General features: G+C 37.9%; 2 non-coding genes and 2 pseudogenes across 4 annotated transcripts in view, besides 3 other annotated features; 2 read left to right on the top strand and 2 right to left on the bottom strand.

The window, feature by feature from the left end:
• Positions 1 to 345: 345 nt before the first annotated feature.
• Positions 346 to 442, bottom strand: MIR550A2 (microRNA 550a-2). Its single transcript, NR_030320.1, has one exon. It is a non-coding gene; the product is annotated as a microRNA 550a-2 (primary transcript).
• On the top strand, positions 346 to 442 carry MIR550B2 (microRNA 550b-2). The gene has a single exon (NR_037514.1). It is a non-coding gene; the product is annotated as a microRNA 550b-2 (primary transcript).
• A 2,997-nt stretch (positions 443 to 3,439) lies between these two features.
• ZNRF2P1 (zinc and ring finger 2 pseudogene 1) lies at positions 3,440 to 5,473 on the bottom strand (annotated as a pseudogene). The gene has a single exon (NR_003502.2). The product of NR_003502.2 is annotated as a zinc and ring finger 2 pseudogene 1 (transcript).
• Positions 4,411 to 4,460: a silencer, noted in NCBI's record as "silent region_18080". NCBI's record gives its function as "represses an Ori minimal core promoter by ATAC-STARR-seq in GM12878 lymphoblastoid cells {active_cell/tissue: GM12878}" and the evidence as "EXISTENCE:reporter gene assay evidence [ECO:0000049][PMID:35858748]".
• Positions 4,481 to 5,120: a silencer, noted in NCBI's record as "silent region_18079". NCBI's record gives its function as "represses an Ori minimal core promoter by ATAC-STARR-seq in GM12878 lymphoblastoid cells {active_cell/tissue: GM12878}" and the evidence as "EXISTENCE:reporter gene assay evidence [ECO:0000049][PMID:35858748]".
• Positions 5,441 to 5,490: an enhancer, noted in NCBI's record as "active region_25830". NCBI's record gives its function as "activates an Ori minimal core promoter by ATAC-STARR-seq in GM12878 lymphoblastoid cells {active_cell/tissue: GM12878}" and the evidence as "EXISTENCE:reporter gene assay evidence [ECO:0000049][PMID:35858748]".
• The window catches only part of DPY19L1P1 (DPY19L1 pseudogene 1), a 138,230-nt pseudogene continuing 129,051 nt past the window's right edge, over positions 14,255 to 23,433 (top strand). Inside the window, exons 1-2 of the transcript NR_036680.1 lie at positions 14,255 to 14,287; positions 16,614 to 16,705. The product of NR_036680.1 is annotated as a DPY19L1 pseudogene 1 (transcript). The remainder of the gene's footprint in view (positions 14,288 to 16,613; positions 16,706 to 23,433) is intronic.

Here is a 23,433-nt window from a genome sequence, read left to right as displayed (position 1 = left end):
TTTTGTCCAATTTCTAAACAAATAAATGTCATGTATATGCAAAATTAAAACACAGACTAACATTTCAAATAAACAATAGTTCTTAAGAATATTCACATAAGGTAAAACTTAGGAAGTAATCTGCTACATAAAGCAGTTCCTACACTCTCTTTTAACACATTTGCCAGTATACCCAATTGTACATAATACTTAGTACATGTAATAAGTTTAATATTAGGGCAATTCTCCTTACAAACCCAAATAATAATAAATAGTTTAAAAGTTGATATCTAATTAATGATATTTGGTAATCAAAAGAACTTACTTACTGGTCACCAGGCAAAGCAATCAAATTGGAGGAGAGCAAGAGACTCGCTGGAGATGTGCCTGAGGGAGTAAGACACTATCTGACAACAACAGGGCTCTTACTCCCTCAGGCACTGCACCAGCCAGCAAAGCATCAAAATACCAGGTTCTTAGGTCACGCTGCTCTCAGATCAGGTGATGCCCTGTGCAACTCACCAATCCTCCCCACCTTGCAGTCAAGAATAGTTCCAAAAAATCCCCAAAGCAGAAACGTCCATGACACAGGCCACACTTACACACAGCAAAACATATAACACGAAGGTATGAAATTACAAGTGAGAAACAATAACCACCAAAATTCTTATTACTTCAGGAGTGGCAGGGGTTGTGGTTAGAAGGCTCATTTTTCTTAGAAAGAGGCAAACATTCCTCTTTGGCCACTCCCCATAAAAGCCTTCAATGGCACAAAATAACATTCAGGAATAGGAAGTAGATTAATTAGAGTATCCCAAATTCAAACATTTTGGCACTTGATATTGGTAAGAAGAGATAACTGAGACCAATTCCATAATGGTTAATTGATGAAGACAACCTAACAGCATAAAACTTCACATCTGCTTAAAAATTAAGAGAAATCGTCCTAGAAATACAGGTCTTATTCAACATATTCAGTTTTAAGAGATAACCCACACTCCTTCAATATAAGAAAACATGTTGCACAAGTAACAAGGCACCTGAGTTACAATCAGACTACTGAAATACTCATGAGCAAGCCACACCCAAAAAAGCTCAAGAAAATCAGGAGGCCAAAAGCAACCCAGCACCACTAGTTGTCTTAGATTAAGTCATTTTACATTTTCACTTCCGGACTCAAAGATACATTATAGAAGTCCACACGATGTCTCTGGAAATAATCTCCATGTATTGGTATATTTCTATAGCCCAATTCATCTACCCCATCCTTGCTGCATCATTAAAGGCTATTTGACCACTCATGTTATGCTCTTATGAACAATAGCTACTTGACAGTGGAAAAAAAAACGTAGACGTAAATTAAAGCCAAACAAACCCTAAAATACCGTCAAGATTTTTAAATATTAGGAAATACCCTTAAGACCTTTTTTAAAACAAAGGTGATGGACGACACTAGCAGTAGTCAAGAAAGCGTCTGTTCACTTTAACACTCCTCAGTCTGAAAAGAATAATAAGGACAAGATTTACTTCACCTAAGAACTCCTAAATATAATCACATTCTGATGTCCGGCAACTCAATTCTAGGAAATTTCTACACACTGAAATATCTGGATTAGGCATTTTTCTTCCAGTTCTCTAGAGAGAATAAGAGTGTATATAGCGAAAATAGATGTCCAAAAGACAGCAAAACATAAAACCAACACAGAAAACTTCCTCGTTCAATGTGGCAATTCATTATGAGGGAACTACTAACAATTCCACTTGCTAGACTCTTAAGTGTTAAAAATAAAAGGGGGGGGGACTGTTTTTCATTTTCTATAAATTACATGAGACCTCACAAGAGAATAATTTTGAATCTTATTAGTACCACATTTTCTTATTAGGAGACGTTAATAATATAAACAACAATTAAAACAACAGTTTTACAAAAATCAATATGAACTTTCCATTAATTCTGAAATAATCCTTTTATCAATTTTCAGATGGAGTTATTTGTATATAACCATTTATACAATTTGTAACTGAATAAACACAATAATGCTATAATAGATACTAAAAAATTAAGTAAATGTGAAGTACAGTCAAGTCTAACTTTTTTAATTATAAGATTCTTCATCTAGCTCCCTAAATCTCAAGATGATGAGAAACATGCTTCTATTGTTTTCCTAATAACCCATCCACTAAAATATAGGTAAAAATCTCAGTAAGGCAATGCCACTAAGATGGGTTTTTACATAAGTGTATTCCATCTCCCTGCCTCAACAGAGATTTCAGGATGTGGCACTTTCATCCGATCCTGTCATATAATAAGAACAGGTAATTTCTCTGATCCCTTTCCAGCAATTCTCAACTGAGGTTCCTCATCTGAATCACCAAACATAGGAAATTATTTCAGTGACTTTTCTCAATTGTTCCAAGAATGATACATAACTAAAACCGTCCTAAATGCACTGGTGCTGAAAGTTAAAATTCATTGCACACTACGGCACAATTGTCTCCAGAAAGCCGGGTGAGAAAGGCTGCTATAAGTTCCTCAGAAAGTGTCACTGTACTACTAGGCCCCAGTCACCCAACCCCAACAGCACTAAAAGAACTATAATGAGTGCACAAATCTAGAACTTAGATAAGAAAAAAGATAAATGCTTTATCTCCAACTTTAAGCAACTAGGTATTTTTACTTACTAGGAATAGCATGGGGCTCAACTGTCTCTTGCTCTGAATAGAATGCATTTACTTAACAAAATAAACCCATAGAACTATAATGTTTCTCAAAGGGAATGATCAGCTCTTAGAAAGTGAATTTTTAAAAATCAGCATATTAAATATTAACTTGACAAGGCTTTTCCTATTGACCCTTCTTTAGCAAACAAATATTCATCTTTTGATAACTGCTAAATGCAAATTTTCACTTTAAAAAGATAAATATTAAAAACCAGTTTGCTCTTCATTTTCGCAGTAATCACCAATTCTCAGAAACTGCCTTTTATATTCTTCAGTGCGGACTACAGCAACTTCAACTGCTGTGTTAGTTGTGATCAAATCACTTTAAAGACACCAGTGGAGTTCTTTTACTCAAAAGCTAATGACTTTTAAAAATGGCCCAATTTTAAGAGGGATGAATATTTTTAAGAAGCAAAAATTACTTTAAAACAAGGTAGCTAATTAAAAGTCAAGCGTCGTTCCATATTGAATGTACAAAGCGTTACTAAAAAGATGGGAAAAACTAAACATGACATTCCTATTTTTAATTTATGCTGGCGTGTGTGCTGATAGCACAGAACATCACAACAGATAAATTACTACGTATTCCACTTTACTAAGTCTCCACTCACAGTTCCTACGTTTACAAATATGTAAGTAAAAGAGGCACAAAAATGTAGGGGATGGTGTTTTCGTTGCTCATCTGTGCTCAGTTGCGAATTCTTCTAATATCAGATACATAATGCGATGAAATGGGAATGCTTATCTTCTATACTTCTATTTATTTTCATAAAGCGGGAAGGGGAGGTGGTCTTGATTCATTTAATATTAGCGTTTTGCAATAAAGTAGAGCAGCATAAAACATAACTGAAGAATTCATTTTCCCCAGGATAATGCACCCTTCCTCCTGTTTCTACAGTAAAGCACATCATTTTGCTATTAAAAATGTCCATTTTTCACAACTGACTTTTCCTTAACTCTAGTCAACACTGCTCTTCAAAAGAACCTAGCCAATTACTGTACCTTGTAGGCAGAGTTGCAAAATTTTTACTTCCCTAAGAAACTTTTCCATTTTTTAAATGCTTTCCAAATTAAGCAGGACTCACATTAACTGTGATCTTAAGTAGCAGTTTAGTGAGGTTTGAAAACAAACTTTTCATTAACGCATTCATCCAATTAAAGTGACATAGTAAGTGGGACTACTGACACAGATTTAAGGATTACAGCTTTATATTAAAAGTCGGTCCAAAGATGGTAACTCAGAGTTCATTTGAGACCCTCTGACTTTTGGCTTTTAAAAATTGTGCCCCACTCGAGTCCCCAGATAGAACTACATTTAGCAACCGTCTCCTCCTGACTTCCTGGTACTAAAAGCCACAACCACAAGGGCTATTTCGTGGGTTTGCTGTAAAACAACATTTGCTCCAGTCAACTCACTGGAAAATAGACTATCTCTACTGAGTACCCGCTGAGGTGTGGGTGCTCACGATGTTTAAAAACAAAACCACGTGTCTACGCGGCAGCGACACCGCAGGTGTTACGTGCCGGGTTTCTTCCCAGGATGGAGACCGGCGCGGGCTGGGCCGGGAAGCAGCCCCTGGCGGGCTGGGCCGGGAAGCAGCCCCCGGCGCCCCGGCGGAAGGAGAAAAGGAGAACGGTAAAAATAGCCGGCGGCCACGGCCCACGTGCAGCCGCGGGAGAACCGAGCGCGGGCGCGTGGAGAGGGGTCCGTACCTCCAAACATGCGCGGTGAGAGGTGAGCTGGTAAGGAGCCGATCACCAGGCGCGGCCCGCCGGGGCTCCCGCCCACCGGCCGGTGCTGGCCGCCGCCGCCGCCATCCTCAGGGCTGCTGTGCACCGAGTCCTGCGAGTCCTGCGGACCGCTGCTGCTGTTCGGGATGCTGAAGGAGGACTGCGCCGCGCGGGCCCCCGACGCCACGCCCCCCAGGAAACAGCTGCGCGGGGCTGCCGGGGCCACCGCGGCGCCGCCCGAGGCGCTGGGCTGGTGAGCGCTGGGCACCTGAGCCGGGAACCTCCCCGCGGCGGCGGCCCCCCGGCCCCCAGCCCTGGTCCCGGTCCCATTGGCCACTCCGCTGCTACTGGAAGGTAGATCCGAGCCGAGTACGCGCGCGTGCGCCGTTAGCGGCGGCCAGGCCGCTCTGCCTGGCGCTCCTGTCCGCCCTGCTCCGGACCGGGCCGCGCGCTGTGCCCCGAGAGCCAAGAGGGTAGGAGCGAACGCGGGAGCTAGAGGGCAGGGCCGAGGCGCCGCGGCCGGCCCAGAGAGGCCCCCGCACGTCCAGGGCCGCCGCTCGGCGCCCCGAGGGGCAGTCGGCGCCCGGCGCGCTCTTCTCGGGGCGGTGGGCAAGGCTGGCGGCCTGACGCGGGCGCGGGAGACGAGGAGACGCGGAGAGGAAGGTGTCCCGGCTGCAGGCACCCCTCGCTGGCTCCAGCAGGAAGGGGCGACTCAGGTGGCCGTGCGACTGCCGCTGGTTTCGGTGCGCCATGACGGGCCGCTGCCGCTTTCTGCCGTCGCGCTTGGCGCCCCGGGCCTCCCCACCGCCTCCTCTCCGGCGGCCGCTGTTACCGCCGCCATCCTCCGGCTCCCACGGCGACTGGCGGCTGAGTGGGAGGCGCCCGCCCAGACTCCGCCGGAGCCACCTTCCCTCCTCCCCCAGCCACCCAGCCGTTATTAACGGAGAAAGAGGAAAAACGGGTGGCGCGCGAGGGGAGGACGAAGAATGAGAGGGAGGGAGGGGTGGCCCGCGCTTCCCGGCAACCGTGGCTTCGCTCCCCCGCAACCGTGGCTTCGCTCCCCCTGCGAGATTAATTTCACAGGGGATTAATTTCTCATTTACAAATAAAAATGTAAGTTTAGAACAGAATGTTTTAAAAAGGTAAAAGCATTCACTGCATACTATATGCCAGCACTATACTTAGGACATACAGGACATATACGACTGTATATGTGAGCGCTTATCTCACTTCTCTTGTAGAATGGTTATTATTAAACTTATTTGAGAGGTGAAGTGATTGACAGCCGTTGAAGGATTACTTGAGACCATGGAAACTATAACTTGCAGAGTCAGAATTTGAGTTCAATTCTGATATCAAAGCTATGCTTTTCCTACTATGTTAACCTGCCTAATAAAACTACGCTTCTGAGACGAGGAAAGATGTTTCTGATGTTTAGTGATGTATATTACATTAACGTTGATAATATGATCTCATTAGGTAGTATTGAATAACTCTAATTTCATGTTTTAAATGCCTAGGGGGAGGACTGGAAAGATAATCACCAACTTTTTTTTTTTTTTTGAGTTGGAGTTTCGCTCTTGTGGCCCAGGCCAGAGTGCAGTCCTGTGATCTTGGCTCACTGCAGCCTCTGCCTTCCGATTTCCAGCCTCTGCCTTCCGATTTCAGGTGATTCTCCTGCCTCAACCTTCTGAGTAGCTGGCATCACAGGCGCCTGCCACCACGCCCAGCTAATTTTTGTATTTTTAGTAGAGATGGGGTTTCACTGTGTTGGCCAGGCTGGTCTCGAACTCCTGACGTCATGACCCGCCCGCCTTGGCCTCCCAAAGTGCTGGGATTACAGGCGTGAGCCACCGCACCAATCACCAAAATATTAAAAATGGTTAGCTCTAAGAGGTGCTTACTTTCTCTTTTCAACTCTTTATTTTTTGACATTCTCCCCCCAGTGATTTCACATTAGTTTCCCAGAATGTATAGTGTTATTTTTAAAAAACCTCTGAGACATGAACATTCTGTTGGAAATTTTTTTCTGTTATTTTTTCTTTGTCTTTGAACTTTTAAAAATAGCTTGCAGTTTGGAAACAATTGGTCAATTAAATCTTCTGCTTGATTAAAATTGTAATGGGTACAGGTGCTATTATTCCATTCTGTTCCAGTTTTTATAATATATTTTATATATTTTATGAAGGAATAAATTCAAGGATCTAAATGAAGTGAATTATGAAATGTTTCTATAAATCTTTGTATTTTTCTATTAATCACCGTATTTTAATTATATACTTTTATATTGACTTACTATTATTTATATTACAGAATTGGCTATCACATATATAATATTTTTCTATATAGAGGCATAATGTGTAATTTTGAAGTGACTGATTCCTAAGTGAAATGATCTAAATAAATTTGTCAGAATTTATAATGTCTAAGGCAACCATCACAAAATGGTATTTTGGAAAGATTATTATTATGAAGAGAATATATTTTCCTCCATTATCTCTTTGTTTTTATCTTTTTAAAGGTAATCATAGCCTCCTGGTGTCGCACATCCATGGGAATAATGAATTTATTTGGACTAGAAACTAAGACCTGCTGGAATGTCACCAGAATAGAACCTCTTAATGAAGTTCAAAGCTGTGAAGGCATGTTTCTTCCAAAAATGCTGTCATTTGTAAACATTCATAAACATTTAATAATATTATGATTCACTTTTAAGAATTATTGTAAAATACTGTTGTTGATTTAAAAAAAAATTAGAACTGGCTCACCTCAATGAGTATTTTACGTTTTAAAGTAGTTTTCTGAGAAGGCTGTGTACTTACAAATTTGAGTATAAATTTTGGAATTTGAGTATTAACATATCCCATTGTAAGGCAATCTTGACTATAAGTTAGTCTTCTGTTTCAGAATGCGAAGATACAGAAAGATGTTTTTTGGGGTAGCTTCAATATATAAATTTTGAGGATAGATTAAACAGTCAAATATCTATTTGTAATAGCTAATGTATAAATTTAATTATGCATACATATTTAAAAATCGGATATGCAATAATAGATTGATTTAGAAACATTACTTTTTTATATATGCTCATAGTATTAATAAAACTCTTCCTATTTATCTTCCACATTGGTTTCTTTGTCAAAGAACCACTTTTGGAGTCATCCAACAGCTTTCCAGGATACATAGTGGTCACTTCCATTTAAGATGTTTGCATTTCAGCACTTTTATAATTCAAATATGGTGCTGTCCCTTGAGACTTGTTGAGAGCCACATGTATCTCTTTTTATAACACTAACACTGTTGTTTTTTCTGCATTTCTTCAAATTCTTAACAACATGACTTATTATATTTTATGAATAAATTTTTAGACTTGTTTGTAACAACATTCAACTCTTGGAATATAAACTAAATCTATTTTCCTTACATTTTTTACTGATTGCCTCAGTAAAAATAGAATTGATGAGGATGTTTGAGGGGCAATTATATTTTTTTGTGTACAATGTAAAGGATTGGAGAAAATGCCTCATAAAATGAGATACTTTGCAATGATTCAATCAGCTAGAAGGTGTGACCCTGTCTGAGTGGTGAAAATGATCACCTAAATATGGTATTAATTACCTTCCCAATAAGTGATAAGTTACTGTTTGGCACTTGGGACACAGAGATGAACCAGCTAGACATGGGGCCTTACCCTCATAGAGTTTATGCTGTAAGGGGTCTGTTAGCAGTTACAACTGTGAGGGATACTACAAATAAGAAAATAAGATTACCAACATGAGGAGTAAGAGGATAAGTATTTTAAGAATAGGGAATAACATATTCAAATATCCTGAAGCAAGAGGGAACTGAAAGAAGGCTAGAATTCCTGGAAATGATGGAGAAGAAAAATGATGTGAAATGGTGCTGGGAATATAAGCGAGGATCAGATCATGAAAGGCGTGCACTGGTGAAGGATTTTATACTTTATCCATTGAAGAATTTTAACAGAGTTTCATTTTAAAACATTATTTAATCAATGGTATGGAAAGAATATTAGTAAAGGGACAAAAGTAGGTTCAGGGAGGCCAGGTAGAAGACTATTATATTCTCAGCAAGTGATTGCAGGAAAGATAATGTGGATATGCAGGAAAGATAATGTGGATAATGTGGGTTTGAGAGAGATTTTGGAAGTAGAATGGACAAGACCCTGTCTTGGTAATTGTTTGGTAAGAGAGGGGAAGGTGAGTGAAGAATCATGTGAAACAGTTTGGTTTCTAGCTTAAGTAACTGAGCTTTGAATGGTAGGAAACATTTGAACAGTAGCAGGTTTGTATTGTTATGTTTCATTGTGTATGCATGAATTTGAGGTACTTGAGAGACCTCAGAGTGGGGACATCAAGTGGCTATCTGGGTATAAGAATAAGGAGAAAGTTCTGGATTAAATGTAGAGTTGGAGTCATCTGTATATAGATCATTGGAGCCATGGATGTGGAAGAATTTCTTTATGGAGAATGCGCAGATAGAGAAATGAAGGGGGCATATGACAGAGCCTAAGGTGGTCCAGTATTAAAGAGTGGTACATAAAACAAGAGAAATTACTGGAACTGATTGAAAGGAGTGACCAGAGAGGCAGGGGGAATCAGAAGGCCAGCCTTCAGACTTTGGCTCCAGCCAGTTAAAGTGAAATAACCTTTGACAAGTTGAATATTCTATGTTCTGTTTTCTTAATCATAAGAAAAGTATTTTTATATCAGCTAATACCATAAACTTGTTCTGAGAAAAATGTGGGATGATTGTAAAGTACATATTGCCACACACACGCACGATCTTCTATATGGAATATACTAAGATTCTAGCTATACATAATAATGGATCAAATGACTGGATCATTTCATATAGACTAAAGCTGTACCCTGAAGTCAAAATCATATCTTAACTCTTCCTAGAGCCTAGCAAAAGATAAAAATAATGCAATGGATTTTCTTTTGTATTCATTAAGTGGTTCTACAGACAGTTCCAGACACTGAACACTAGCAGCATCACCTAAATAAATGTGAATCCCCAACAAATCATTACAGTATAATAGTAATTCATTAGAGGAAAGTACAAATGCAATTATAAAAAGTATAAAGTGTAACTATATAATACCTCATTAAGGGTGAGCTTACATATGTGTATGTGTATATATACACACATATATACACACATACATATATGTGTTTGCATACACACACACACACACACAAACTCTTATAAGGGTAAAGAATTAAACACAGCGGCAATCTGGAAAGCAAATGCTTTCAGCAAATTCATAAGCTCTTGATTGCAAAGCACTGAGATAATTATGCCCAATTGCTTTCGAGTCATATATTCATTAAACACTGCTTATCTGTATCTTTTCAAAGGATTGGGAGATCCTGCTTGCTTTTATGTTGGTGTAGTCTTTATTTTGAATGGACTAATGATGAGATTGTTCTTCGTGTATGGAGCATAACCTGAGGTAAGACTACTACTGAATTAAGAGACCTTTCAGTGGGCTTATACAGACTGGCTGATATTTTTTGATTGAATGAAAAGGAAAATTAACGAGATTAGATTCATATCAGGAAAGTTTGTGGATTTATTTGATTTTTTCAGAAGCTTAACCAATATCATGTAACCAGAAACTGGAGATGTCACTAAAATTCTATCCCAAAGGCATCCCTTTTATCCCTTAAGGATTTTTTTTTGACTAATTAAGATTTCCTAACAAAGGCTTTAATGGAATATCTCCTAGTTCATGTGTAAAATTAAGAAAACATTGGAGGAGATCTTTGGTTAGCAGTAATAGCAGCTTATTTCTAATTGTATTCTCTAAGGATGAAATTAAGAAAGCAGTAGGAAAAACTGTATCACATGTGGCAGGCACTTACATCTACTAGCCTGCCTATCTTGATAAGAGTACCACGATGAAGAAGCAGTGAGACCGGTCTCAGGTGATAAGTTGAAATTAATTTCAGCGGTCATGTGTTTTGCTCCCACACTTAATTGCTCCCTGAGATAGCCAAATCAGCGAGTTTTTGTCAATGAAAACTAAGGTGAAGTCAGTTTTGGTTACATCTAGGAAAGTATCTGCCTTTCTCACAAAAGGACAGACTTAGCTGCCCCTTCTCTGTTTCTTCCTGCTTTTACTACACTAGGATGTCATGCCCAGAGCTGTAGCGGTCATCTTGTGACCATAAGGGAAAGGCCATAAAAATAGCAGATATATCTGGCCTACCATCCTTCTGCTGCTGAACCAATGCCAACAGGTACTTATCTTTCATTTTCTTGTTGAATGATATATTAAACAACATCCATATTGTGTAAGCTACTTTTGTTAGGTTTTCTGTTTCTTTCAGTGGAACATATTCCTAGCTGAATCATCAGATTTCTTTACAATGTTATTCTTGTCGTGTAAAACATTTAAAATTAAAATTAATTAATAGCTTTACTCTTTCAACAAATATTTGTTGAGTTTTCATAGGGCTTATGTCAATATAGAGATTAGTAAATATACACACTCTTTGTTTTAGGAAGTTTTCAGCATAAAAAAGACTAGCATAGAATCAATGAAAACTAGTGACATAGTGTTGTACCAGGGATACTATCCAGCATGGTACGTAAAAAGAAAATTAGTAATAAGTATAAGGATTGGAAAACTTGAAAAAAAAGAAATGTGTTCTTAAAAGTAGATAACATCGTATATCTAGAAAAATTTTACAAGCTTATGGATACAGTATTTGCAATAAGAAAATATACAGTGTTACTAGATGTAAACATTAATATTAAAATTCAAAATTATAAATTTTATACTTTAGGATCAAATAGAAAATGAAATTTTGAAAGGATGCTGTTTAGAATAGCATTAAAAGCATGACGTTCCTCAGAATAAATCCAACAAAAAATATATATGACAGCTATGGGAAAATGATTAAAACATTCCTGAGATATGTCTAGGAAAATCTAAGTGGAGAGCTATTCCACATTGATTGATTGAAGACTTGATATTAAAAAGCTTTATAGATTCAATGCTCTACCAGTCAAAATTCCAACATATTTTTTGTTGACTTTGATGAGCTGATTTAAAAGTTACTCAGAAATGCAAAGCGCCAAATACAGTCAAGGTATTCTTGAAAAAGGAGGATTTGCACTATCAACTGTTGCTATATTATAAAGCTAATGTAAAAAGATGCTGTGATATTGGCACAGGAATAGACAAATAGATAACCGAAATAGAGTACAGCCCAGAAGCAGAAATGTACATTTAAAGGCATTTGATATATGGAAGAGCAGGTATTGCAGATTGGTGGGTAAGGACAGGCATTTTAAAAAATAGTGCTGGAATACTTGGGAGATCATATGGAACAAAGAGAACTTGGAACTATATAAATAATACTCCAAGCTGGATTAATCACTCAAATATGAAAGACAGGTTTATAAAAGTGTTCAGCATATAATATAGAAAAAGTCACTTGGAATAAGAAATGATAAACAAGATACAAAAATCCAGCCATGAAGAGAAACTGATAAATTTGATGAGTTTATCAATTTTACCTCAAAAGAACTGTAGGATTAAAAAAACCTGAAAGTGAGTGAAGATATTTACAAAGTTTATGCCCCACCTACTATCCAGAAATTCCATTCATTAATTTGATAAATATTTATTGAAAGCCTGTTGTGACCAGGAGCACTGTTCTAGGTGCTTGGAATACAGAAGAGAAATCTCTGTCCTTGTGAAGTTTATATTAGAGTGGGAAGATAAAGACAAAGAAGAAAGACAACTTGATAGAAAAATGGACAAAATGTTTATGAACTGATATTTCCCAGAAGAACACCACATGGTCAATAAACATATGTAAAGTTGACCACCATCATTTGTTATAAAGAAAATATAAATTCAAACCATAGTGAAATACCAACTCACATCTAATAGATTGATAAAGGAGCTTTCGTCCACCACAGGTGGACATATAAATTGGTACAACTATTTTGGTAAACAGTGTATATTATCTGGTAAAGTTGAAGGTATGGATACCTTATAACTCAGCAATTGTAATTTAACATACATATTCCCAAAAAAGTATTGCACATGTGTACTAGGAAGTACATACAATAATATGGTAGCATTATTTGCAATAGCTTCAAACTGGAAAGAACCCAAATATCCATTAACAGAGAAATGAATACATTTTGGTTTATTAACATGGTGGAACAGTATACAATAATGAGAATGAATGAACTATGCAGCTACACACAACATGGTTGAATCTTACAAATATAATTTTGAATGAGTGAATCCAGGTACAAAATTTAAAAAAATGCTGCATTCTTCCATTTGTATGTTGTTTAAAAACAGATTAAAGTAAATCATAGTTTGATATGTGTATAGAAAGAGTTATGTTGATAATCTCAAAAATCAGGTCAGTAGCTGATTCTTATCTTGGAGGCTGGCAAGTGAAGACAGTATAATCATTTCTCTATTTCAATTAATTATATGGTGACTACATGGACGTTCCCTTTACAGTTCTATAATCTAGAAATTTTATGCACTTTTCTATATGCCGTGTAGAAAAATATAAGCTCATTAAAGTACTTTGAGGGAAAAGGATTGCTTTGAGATTGTTTGGGCAGGTTTAAAAATATTCTATTTTTTTAAAAAAAGTTCTGTTTTTGGGCCAGGCGCAGTGGCTCACGCCTGTAATCCCAGCACTTTGGGAGGCCGAGGCGGGCGGATCATGAGGTCAGGAGATCGAGACCATCCTGGCTAACATGGTGAAACCCCGTCTCTACTAAAAATACAAAAAAAAAAAAAAATTAGCCGGGCATGGTGGCAGGCGCCTGTAATCCCAGCTACTCGGGAGGCTGAGGCAGAAGAGTCGGCTTGAACTGGGGAGGCAGAGGTTGCAGTTAGCTGAGATCGCTCCACTGCACTCCAGCCTGCGTGACAGAGCGAGACTCCTTCTCAAACAAACAAAAAAACAAAAAGACAACAACAAAAGAAATGGTTTTTATCTTTCATCTGATTTTTGTATTCGGCATTATTGCTTGTCTGGGACTCAAGTAAAGAATATTTGCAGTAGTTTAGACAGTTCTAAGTTAATGCTACATGAAACTGTTTGAATCTTGTCTTCATTTCTCAATCCCTTAAAGCCAATTTCAAAAATAAGAATTTGCCTTTATTCAGGTTATTCAAAGGATGTGATCTAGACTCTAAAGTGCTAGCCTGTTTCTTAAAAATTACTTTATGCGGTGGGGCGCGGTGGCTCATGCCTGTAATCCCAGCACTTTGGGAGGCCGAGGCGAGTGGATCACGAGGTCAGGAGTTTGAGACCAGCTTGGCCAACATGGTGAATCCCCATCTCTACTAAAAGTAAAAAAATTAGCCGGGCATAGTGGCACACGCTTGTAATCCCAGCTCCTTGGGAACCTGAGGCAGGAGAATATTTGGAACCCAGGAGGTGGAGGTTGCAGTGAGTCGAGATTTCGCCACTGCACTCCAGCCTGTGCGACAGAGCAAGACCCCATCTCAAAAAAAATTTATGTTCACACCTTATGTATTTTATTTAGAAAGTATTTTAGCTATGATAAATTATAAAATTGAGATTAATTTATATGTACACTTTTTACGATTGTACATTCAGGATTTAAGCATCAACCACATGGGTATGGTTTAGTACTATTATGTTTTAAATATGATTTAAACTATGGTTTAAAATTCTGAGGTAATTTTGTGAAAAACTCACTGTATTTTACATGAATTTTGATTGTATACTCTGTTATTATTATTATTTTTTACAGTGGGACTCAACTAGGAGGTCTTATTACAGTACTGTGCTGCTTTTTCAACCATGGAGAGGTTTGTTTTCTAGAAAGCAATTTTTAAGAAATAGAAGGGGTTATAGAGGAACAAAGAAATATACTCATCGAAACAATATATAATTGTATACTACTTATGACTTCACAATATTTTAAAGACCCTTGTGTTATAAGTTGATATTTTAATCATGCTGATCAAAATGTTTAAATAGCTAGAATTTCAAACATGAAATCTCTTGCCTTATTTTTAGTAAATATATACATATACATATATTCTGTAGAGAAAAGGAAATACTGTACTTGTTGAGTTGAATCACGTCATGCACATTATCTGATTTATTCCCACTAAACTTTTTTTGTGGGTGGTGGTAGCCTCACCATACAAGTTATGAAATTTAAATTTAGAGAAAATTAAGTTACTTATCCACATTCCACATTTACTACATGATGAAGCTGGATTTCCCATTCTATGTCTGGTCTGCCATTTAAAACCTCACATATATATTAATTTATATTTTATTAATTATAAAATTATAGTTATATTTTATAAAAACTTTTATATATTTTATATGTATAACATATATATTCAACTTTTTTATTGTGGTAAGAATAAGTAACATGAGATCTGCCCTCTTAACAGATTTGTAAGTGTACAATACAGTGTTAACAGAATGTTGTATAGCAGATCTCTAGAACTTATTTATCTTGCCTAACTGAAACTTTGTATGCATTGCACTCCCCTTAACAACAATGAAAGAGGCCTCAGGCCTGACAGCAGGGACACGGTTAAGACACTGCCACCTGCTCCCTCACTTCTTTGTGTTACGTCATGCTGTCTGTTCAGTAATGCAAAATGCTGAATTCAAAATAGACATTAACTTACTAATTCAGCCCAATGAAACATAGTCCACCTAAAAAAGAGCTCATAGAAGCTTATTTCAAATACGATGGATACATTCAACAAAATATTGGTATATACCATGTCCATACTCTGTTAGATGCTGAGGATATGGCAATGAAAAAGAGAGAGATTCTGACTCCTAGCTCTTGGGAGCAAAATATTTAATAAGTTATGACACAGGTTTCATAGGGTAGAAGTATTTTTTTTTCAAGATGGAGTCTTGCTCTGCCGCCCAGGCTGGAGTGCCGTGGCATGATCTTGGCTCACTGCAACCTCTGCCTCGTGGGTTCAAGCAGTTCTCCTGCCTCAGCCTCCTGAGTAGCTGGGATTACAGGCATGTGCCACCATGCTCAGCTAAATTTTTGTATTTTTAGTGGAGATGGGGTTTTACCATGTTGGCCAGGCTGGTCTCGAACTCCTGACCTCGTGATCCACCCGCCTTGGCCTCCCAAAGTACTGGGGATTACAGGTGTGAGCCACCATGCCCGGCCGGGGTAGAGGTACTTTTATCCATTGCTGTTGGGTTAATTTTTAAAAATCAGTTAGATAAAGGAATCATAAAAATTATACATAAAAGCCATATATATTATTTTAAAGCAAACAAATGCATTGACATTCAACAATGTGCTGATTTAAAGACAAAGCTTTTTCTTTGAGTGTGCCAGACAACTGTTGGTATAAGTTGACTTTTATGTATCATAATTCCTCTTCCAACATTTACAATTTTGGTATCTTGGAAGAGGAGCAATAACTTCTAAGACTCTTGCAAAGTAATAAGAGTTCACATTCTTTCTAGAATTTCAGAATTTTTGATGGAAAATTTTTCTAATACTCTGACCCATACGTCTTAGAAATAATTTTAAAGTTTGCGTGAAAATTTAATACTTTTCGTTACATGCATCACATTTGTAGTTCCCAAATACTTCTAGTTGTTTTTAAAATATATACTTAACTTTTTTAAGGTACATTTTACAAAATCTGAGGCAATCTTAGCTATTCAAAGTGTGTATTTATATTCGTTCATACTTGTTACATAGAAACTCTCATGGTGCTTGCGAATGACCTAGGTGACATTTGTTTAGGTGTTTGTCTCGGCATGCATATATCCCAAAGCCTCGGATGCCAGGATCATGTGCCAGGATCATACTGCAGGGCTGGCCTATGGATCTAGTTGGTCAGTCCCAGAATTCTCACAACTCTTATACGTACAATCTTGTTTGTCCGTTGGGTTTCATTTTGCTCGGTCTGATACATCTGTTGCTGGTTTCTGGACATGGTAGTTAATTGCTCTCTACTTAATGGCCTCATGCGTTAAGAGAGCTTCAAAAACTGAGAAGCTATGCCAGACACTCAGAAATGGGATCTAGTGAGCCTGGTATTGAAATTACTAAAAAAACCTCACCCCTGGTTTTTAAATGTTTGTTGTAGTAAACATGATGTAAAGTGGGCATTTTGTTGATTTCAGGTCACCCGTGTGATGTGGACACAACCTCTCCGTGAAAGTTTTTCCTATCCATTCCTTGTACTTCAGATGTATATTTTAACTTTGATTCTCAGGTAACTTCGATTTATAAAACAAAGGCAAATAAATTATAATTTAAGTGTCTTAAAATATGCTTCAGTTCAGCACTTTGGGAGGCTGAGGTGGGCGGATCACTTGAGGTCAGGAGTTTGAGACCAGCCTGGCCAACATGGTGAAACCTTGTCTCTTCTAAAATACAAAAGTTAGCCAGGCATGGTGGTGTGCATCTGTAATCCCAGCTACTTGGGAGGCTGAGGCAGGAGAATTGCTTGAACCCGGGAGGCAGAGGTTGCAGTGAGCCAAGATTGTGCCACTACACTCCAGCGTGGGCAACAGAGCGAGACTCCCTCTAAAAAAAAAATATGTAAATATATATATTATATATATATACTTCAACCTATGAAGTTGTAATTACCAAATTGACCATTTTTTAGTTATTTTAAAAGTAAATTGAGTATAGAGTTAAGAAAATAATTCAAAATTGCTACGTAAAAATTGCTCTCCATTTAAGAGTGTAGGCTACAGGTTTTAGATAACTACATTATATTTTAATAAACCAAAAGGTATGTGTTTGTATATAGTTTGCCAAGATTCAGAAGTTTTTGAGAAACAATTACATTTTCTCTTCAAAGTTTAGGTACTCTGACATTCTTTTCTAACCTGTGGTTTTGATGAATGTGCCATGAAAAAAGTGTTCTGTGTGGAAACGAATTTGGGAAATGCAGAGTTAGATGGATAAAGAGTACATATATTCACATATTTATGAAGCATTTCTGAACAACTAATGTTTCTAACAGGACAACCAGTTTCATTTCAAACTTTTTTTTTGGATACACTTTTTTTGTAGGGATTACATTTATAAGCATTTTAGATATATAAAAGGTCTGAGAAATGAACAAAAAAAACCTTATGTGGTAGAATAGTATAAATAGCCTTATCAGAGAAATAAATTTGATAGAATACTAATGAGAACTCTCACTGAATGAAATAATGATCACTATCTCCTCCAAACTCCCAGAGGACCCCATTCTTCACCTACTAGTCCCTGGCAGATTCTGCCTTATATAAAAATCATTTGTTTTTCTTCCTTGTTTTTTGAAACAGTAAATTTATGAATCATCCACACATACACAAATTTTTATTTGTTTATTTCTTTAGGGATGAAGTCTTGCTCTGTCACCCAGGCTGGAGTGCAGTGGCATGATCGGCTCACTGCAACCTCTGCTTCCCGGGTTCAAGTGATTCTCCTGCCTCAGCCTCCCAAGTAGCTGGGATTACAGGTGCACACCACCACCCCCAGCTAGTTTTTGTATTTTTGGTAGAGGCAGGGTTTTGCCATGTTGTCCAGGCTGGTCTTGAACTCCTGACCTCAAGTGATCCGCCCGCTTCGGCCTCCCAAAGTGCTGGGATTACAGGCGTGAGCCACTGTGCCCAGCCAATTATATGTATTTAAAAGTACCACTGGAAACAGGGACCATGCCATATTTATCTCTTTAACCACAGAACACTGCACATGTCCATGCAAATATTTGTGGCACTCAGATAAAGCTAATTGAAGAGTGGTAAATAGTAGTGTACTGGAGTGGCACAAACCTTGAGAATGGAGCAGGCTAACTTCTGATTTCTTACCAACCTGACAAGTATATTCTGGGGTTGAATTTGGATTTAGGAACCTCCTCCTCATTCAGATTTCTGTATCTTTGCTCTACACTTTGCCTTCTCTCAAAGATTAGGTGATGGAAGCTGACCATTCTTCATCACCCCTTGCTATTCATTCCCAGTTTAATTCCTAGGAAGGTGGGTTATTTTTATTTTTTTGAGGTGATATCAGTCTGGTCAGTCACGGCTTTCATGGAATAAAATGTCTTAATGAGCACATTTAGGGTTGTATCATTGAGTGCATGTGCTATACTCTGTATCTTAGTCAGAACTAATTTTTGTTTGAAAAATGTAAGATTACAAAGTACATAATGAGTATTTTATGATAACATTAATAAACAATATGAACATTTAGAATTTTGTTCTTGAAAATTTATATACGATTATACAAAGATTCATCAAAATCCAATATAGCATTTATAAAAGGAGCAGTTACAGTTTTATTATTCAGGTAAAATGTTTGTGTTTCTTTTTTCTTATCTAAAAGTTACTATAATTCTCTGTGGTAAAAGGTATTGGTTCCCAATACATCTCAGTAATGCAGAATGGACAATTTAAACTTCCACATGCTTCAGCTGAATTCTAGAATGATTTTTTAATTTTTTAAGATTCTTTTCCCTTAAATTTTTCCCATAGTTGTTAACTTATTACTTTGGCAGCACTTACATTTCTCTTCAATGTTTTTTGAAACAGAAAAGTGGTGGTATATAAAAGTTGTTGCTACACATACAGGAGAAGCATATTGAGGTGTGCAGGGGCAGCGCCCTGTCCTATTTTCTGACCTCCTTGCTGGAGTATTAAATTTCTAATGTCATGCAGATGTAGAGGAAAACGAGCTTTTGTATTTAGAATATTTAATGGTAAATTACAATCTTTTTTTTTTTTCACGTAACAGTAGCATTTTTATTTTCTATTTTTTTAAATTATTATTATACTTTTAAGTTTTAGGGTACATGTGCACAATGTGCAGGTTAGTTACATATGTATACATGTGCCATGCTGGTGTGCTGCACCCATTAACTTGTCATGCAGCATTAGGTATATCTCCTAATGCTATCCCTCCCCACTCCCCCAACCCCACAACAGTCCCCAGAGTGTGATGTTCCCCTTCCTGTGTCCATGTGTTCTCATTGTTCAATTCCTATCTATGAGTGTGAACATGCGGTGTTTGGTTTTTTTGTCGTTTCGATAGTTTATTGAGGAGGATGATTTCCATTTTCATCCGTGTCCCTACAAAGGACATGAACTCATCATTTTTTATGGCTGCATAGTATTCCATGGTGTATATGTGCCACATTTTCTTAATCCAGTCTATCATTGTTGGACTTTTGGGTTGGTTCCAAGTCTTCGCTATTGTGAATAGTACCGCAATAAACATACGTGTGCATGTGTCTTTATAGCAGCATGATTTATAGTCCTTTGGGTATATACCCAGTAATGGGATGGCTGGGTCAAATGGTATTTCTAGTTCTAGATCCCTGAGGAATCGCCACACTGACTTCCACAATGGTTGAACTAGTTGACAGTCCCACCAACAGTGTAAAAGTGTTCCTATTTCTCCACATCCTCTCCAGCACCTGTTGTTTCCTGACTTTTTAATGATTGCCATTCTAACTGGTGTGAGATGGTATCTCATTGTGGTTTTGATTTGCATTTGTCTGATGGCCAGTGATGATGAGCATTTTTTCATGTGTCTTTTGGCTGCATAAATGTCTTCTTTTGAGAAGTGTCTGTTAATATCCTTTGCCCACTTTTTGATGGGGTTGTTTGTTTTTTTCTTGTAAATTTGTTTGAGTTCATTGTAGATTCTGGATATTAGCCCTTTGTCAGATGAGTAGGTTGCGAAAATTTTCTCCCATTTTGTAGGTTGCCTGTTCATTCTGATGGTAGTTTCTTTTGCTGTGCAGAAGCTCTTTAGTTTAATTAGATCCCATTTGTCACTTTTGGCTTTTGTTGCCATTGCTTTTGGTGTTTTAGACCTGAAGTCCTTGCCCATGCCTATGTCCTGAATGGTAATGCCTAGGTTTTCTTCTAGGGTTTTTATGGTTTTGGGTCTAACGTTTAAGTCTTTAATCCATCTTGAATTAATTTTTGTGTAAGGTGTAAGGAAGGGATTCAGTTTCAGCTTTCTACATAAGGCTAGCCAGTTTTCCCAGCACCATTTATTAAATAGGGAATCCTTTCCCCATTGCTTGTTTTTCTCAGGTTTGTCAAAGATCAGATAGTTGTAGATATGCGGCATTATTTCTGAGGGCTCTGTTCTGTTCCATTGATCTATATCTCTGTTTTGGTACCAGTACCATGCTGTTTTGGTTACTGTAGCCTTATAGTATAGTTTGAAGTCAGGTAGCGTGATGCCTCCAGCTTTGTTCTTTTGGCTTAGGATTGACTTGGCGATGCGGGCTCTTTTTTGGTTCCATATGAACTTTAAAGTAGTTTTTTCCAATTCTGTGAAGAAAGTCATTGGTAGCTTGATGGGGATGGCACTGAATCTATAAATTACCTTGGGCAGTATGGCCATTTTCACGATATAGATTCTTTCTACCCATGAGCATGGAATGTTCTTCCATTTGTTTGTATCCTCTTTTATTTCCTTGAGCCGTGGTTTGTAGTTCTGCTTGAAGAGGTCCTTCACATCCCTTGTAAGTTGGATTCCTAGGTATTTTATTCTCTTTGAAGCAATTGTGAATGGGAGTTCACTCATGATTTGGCTCTCTGTTTGTCTGTTATTGGTGTATAAGAATGCTTGTGATTTTTGTACATTGATTTTGTATCCTGAGACTTTGCTGAAGTTGCTTATCAGCTTAAGGAGGTTTTGGGCTGAGACAATGGGGTTTTCTAGATATACAATCATGTCATCTGCAAACAGGGACAATTTGATTTCCTCTTTTCCTAATTGAATACCCTTTATTTCCTTCTCCTGCCTAATTGCCCTGGCCAGAACTTCCAACACTATGTTGAATAGGAGTGGTGATAGAGGTTTCAAAGTTTTCCTTTGAAAACTGTCTTGTGCCAGTTTTTCAAAGGGAATGCTTCCAGTTTTTGCCCATTCAGTATGATATTGGCTGTGGGTTTGTCATAGATAGCTCTTATTAATTTGAGATACGTCCCATCAATACCTAATTTATTGAGAGTTTTTAGTATGAAGCGTTGTTGAATTTTGTCAAAGGCCTTTTCTGCATCTATTGAGATAATCGTGTGGTTTTTGTCTTTGGTTCTGTTTATATGCTGGATTACATTTATTGATTTGTGTATATTGAACCAGCCTTGCATCCCAGGGATGAAGCCCACTTGATCATGGTGGATAAGCTTTTTGATGTGCTGCTGGATTCGGTTTGCCAGTATTTTATTGAGGATTTTTGCATCAATGTTCATCAAGGATATTGGTCTAAAATTCTCTTTTTTGGTTGTGTCTCTGCCTGGCTTTTATATCAGCATGATGCTGGCCTCAGAAAATGAGTTAGGGAGGATTCCCTCTTTTTCTATTGCTTGGAATAGTTTCAGAAGGAATGGTACCAGTTCCTCCTTGTACCTCTGGTAGAATTCGGCTGTGAATCCATCTGGTCCTGGACTCTTTTTGGTTGGTAAGCTATTGATTATTGCCACAATTTCAGAGCCTGTTATTGGTCTATTCAGAGATTCAACTTCTTCCTGGTTTAGTCTTGGGAGGGTGTATGTGTCCAGGAATTTATCCATTTCTTCTAGATTTTCTAGGTTATTTGTGTAGATGTTTGTAGTATTCTCTGATGGTAGTTTGTATTTCCATGGGATCGGTGGTGATATCCCCTTTATCATTTTTTGTTGCGTCTATTTGATTCTTCTCTCTTTTCTTATTAGTCTTGCTAGCGGTGTATCAATTTTGTTGATCCTTTCAAAAAACCAGCTCCTGGATTCATTAATTTTTTGAAGGGCTTGTTATGTCTCTATTTCCTTCATTTCTGCTCTGATTTTAGTTATTTCTTGCCTCCTGCTAGCTTTTGAATGTGTTTGCTCTTGCTTTTCTAGTTCTTTTAATTGTGATGCTAGGGTGTCAATTTTGGATCTTTCCTGCTTTCTCTTGTGGGCATTTAGTGCTATAAATTTCCCTCTACACACTGCCTTGAATGTGTCCCAGAGATTCTGGTATGTTGTGTCTTTGTTCTCGTTGGTTTCAAAGAACATCTTTATTTCTGCCTTCATTTCGTTATGTACCCAGTAGTCATTCAGGAGCAGATTGTTCAGTTTCCATGTAGTTGGGTGGTTTTGAGTGAGTTTCTTAATCCTGAGTTCTAGTTTGATTGCACTGTGGTCTGAGAGACAGTTTGTTATAATTTCTGTTATTTTACATTTTTTGAGGAGAGCTTTACTTGCAACTATGTGGTCAATTTTGGAATAGGTGTGGTGTGGTGCTGGAAAAAAATGTATATTCTGTTGATTTGGGGTGGAGAGTTCTGTAGATATCTATTAGGTCCGCTTGGTGCAGAGCTGAGTTCAATTCCTGGGTATCCTTGTTGACTTTCTGTCTCGTTGATCTGTCTAATGTTGACAGTGGGGCGTTAAAGTCTCCCATTATTATTGTGTGGGAGTCTAAGTCTCTTTGTAGGTCACTCAGGACTTGCTTTATGAATCTGGGTGCTCCTGTATTGGGTGCATATATATTTAGGAGAGTTAGCTCTTCGTGTTGAATTGATCCCTTTACCATTATGTAATGGCCTTCTTTGTCTCTTTTGATCTTTGTTGGTTTAAAGTCTGTTTTATCAGAGACTAGGATTGCAACCCCTGCCTTTTTTTGTTTTCCATTTGCTTGGTAGATCTTCCTCCATCCTTTTATTTTGAGCCTATGTGTATCTCTGCACGTGAGATGGGTTTCCTGAATACAGCACACTGATGGGTCTTGACTCTTTATCCAATTTGCCAGTCTGTGTCTTTTAATTGGAGCATTTAGTCCATTTACATTTAAAGTTAATATTGTTATGTGTGAATTTGATCCTGTCATTATGATGTTAGCTGGTTATTTTGCTCTTTAGTTGAGGCAATTTCTTCCTAGCCTTGATGGTCTTTAGAATTTGGCATGATTTTGCAGCAGCTAGTACCGGTTGTTCCTTTCCATGTTTAGTGCTTCCTT

This window comes from Homo sapiens, chromosome 7 (genome assembly GCF_000001405.40).
Source record: "Homo sapiens chromosome 7, GRCh38.p14 Primary Assembly".
Classification (NCBI taxonomy): Eukaryota; Metazoa; Chordata; class Mammalia; order Primates; family Hominidae; genus Homo; species Homo sapiens.
Note: the sequence above shows the minus strand (reverse complement) of the source record. Positions and strands in the feature narration are given on the sequence as shown.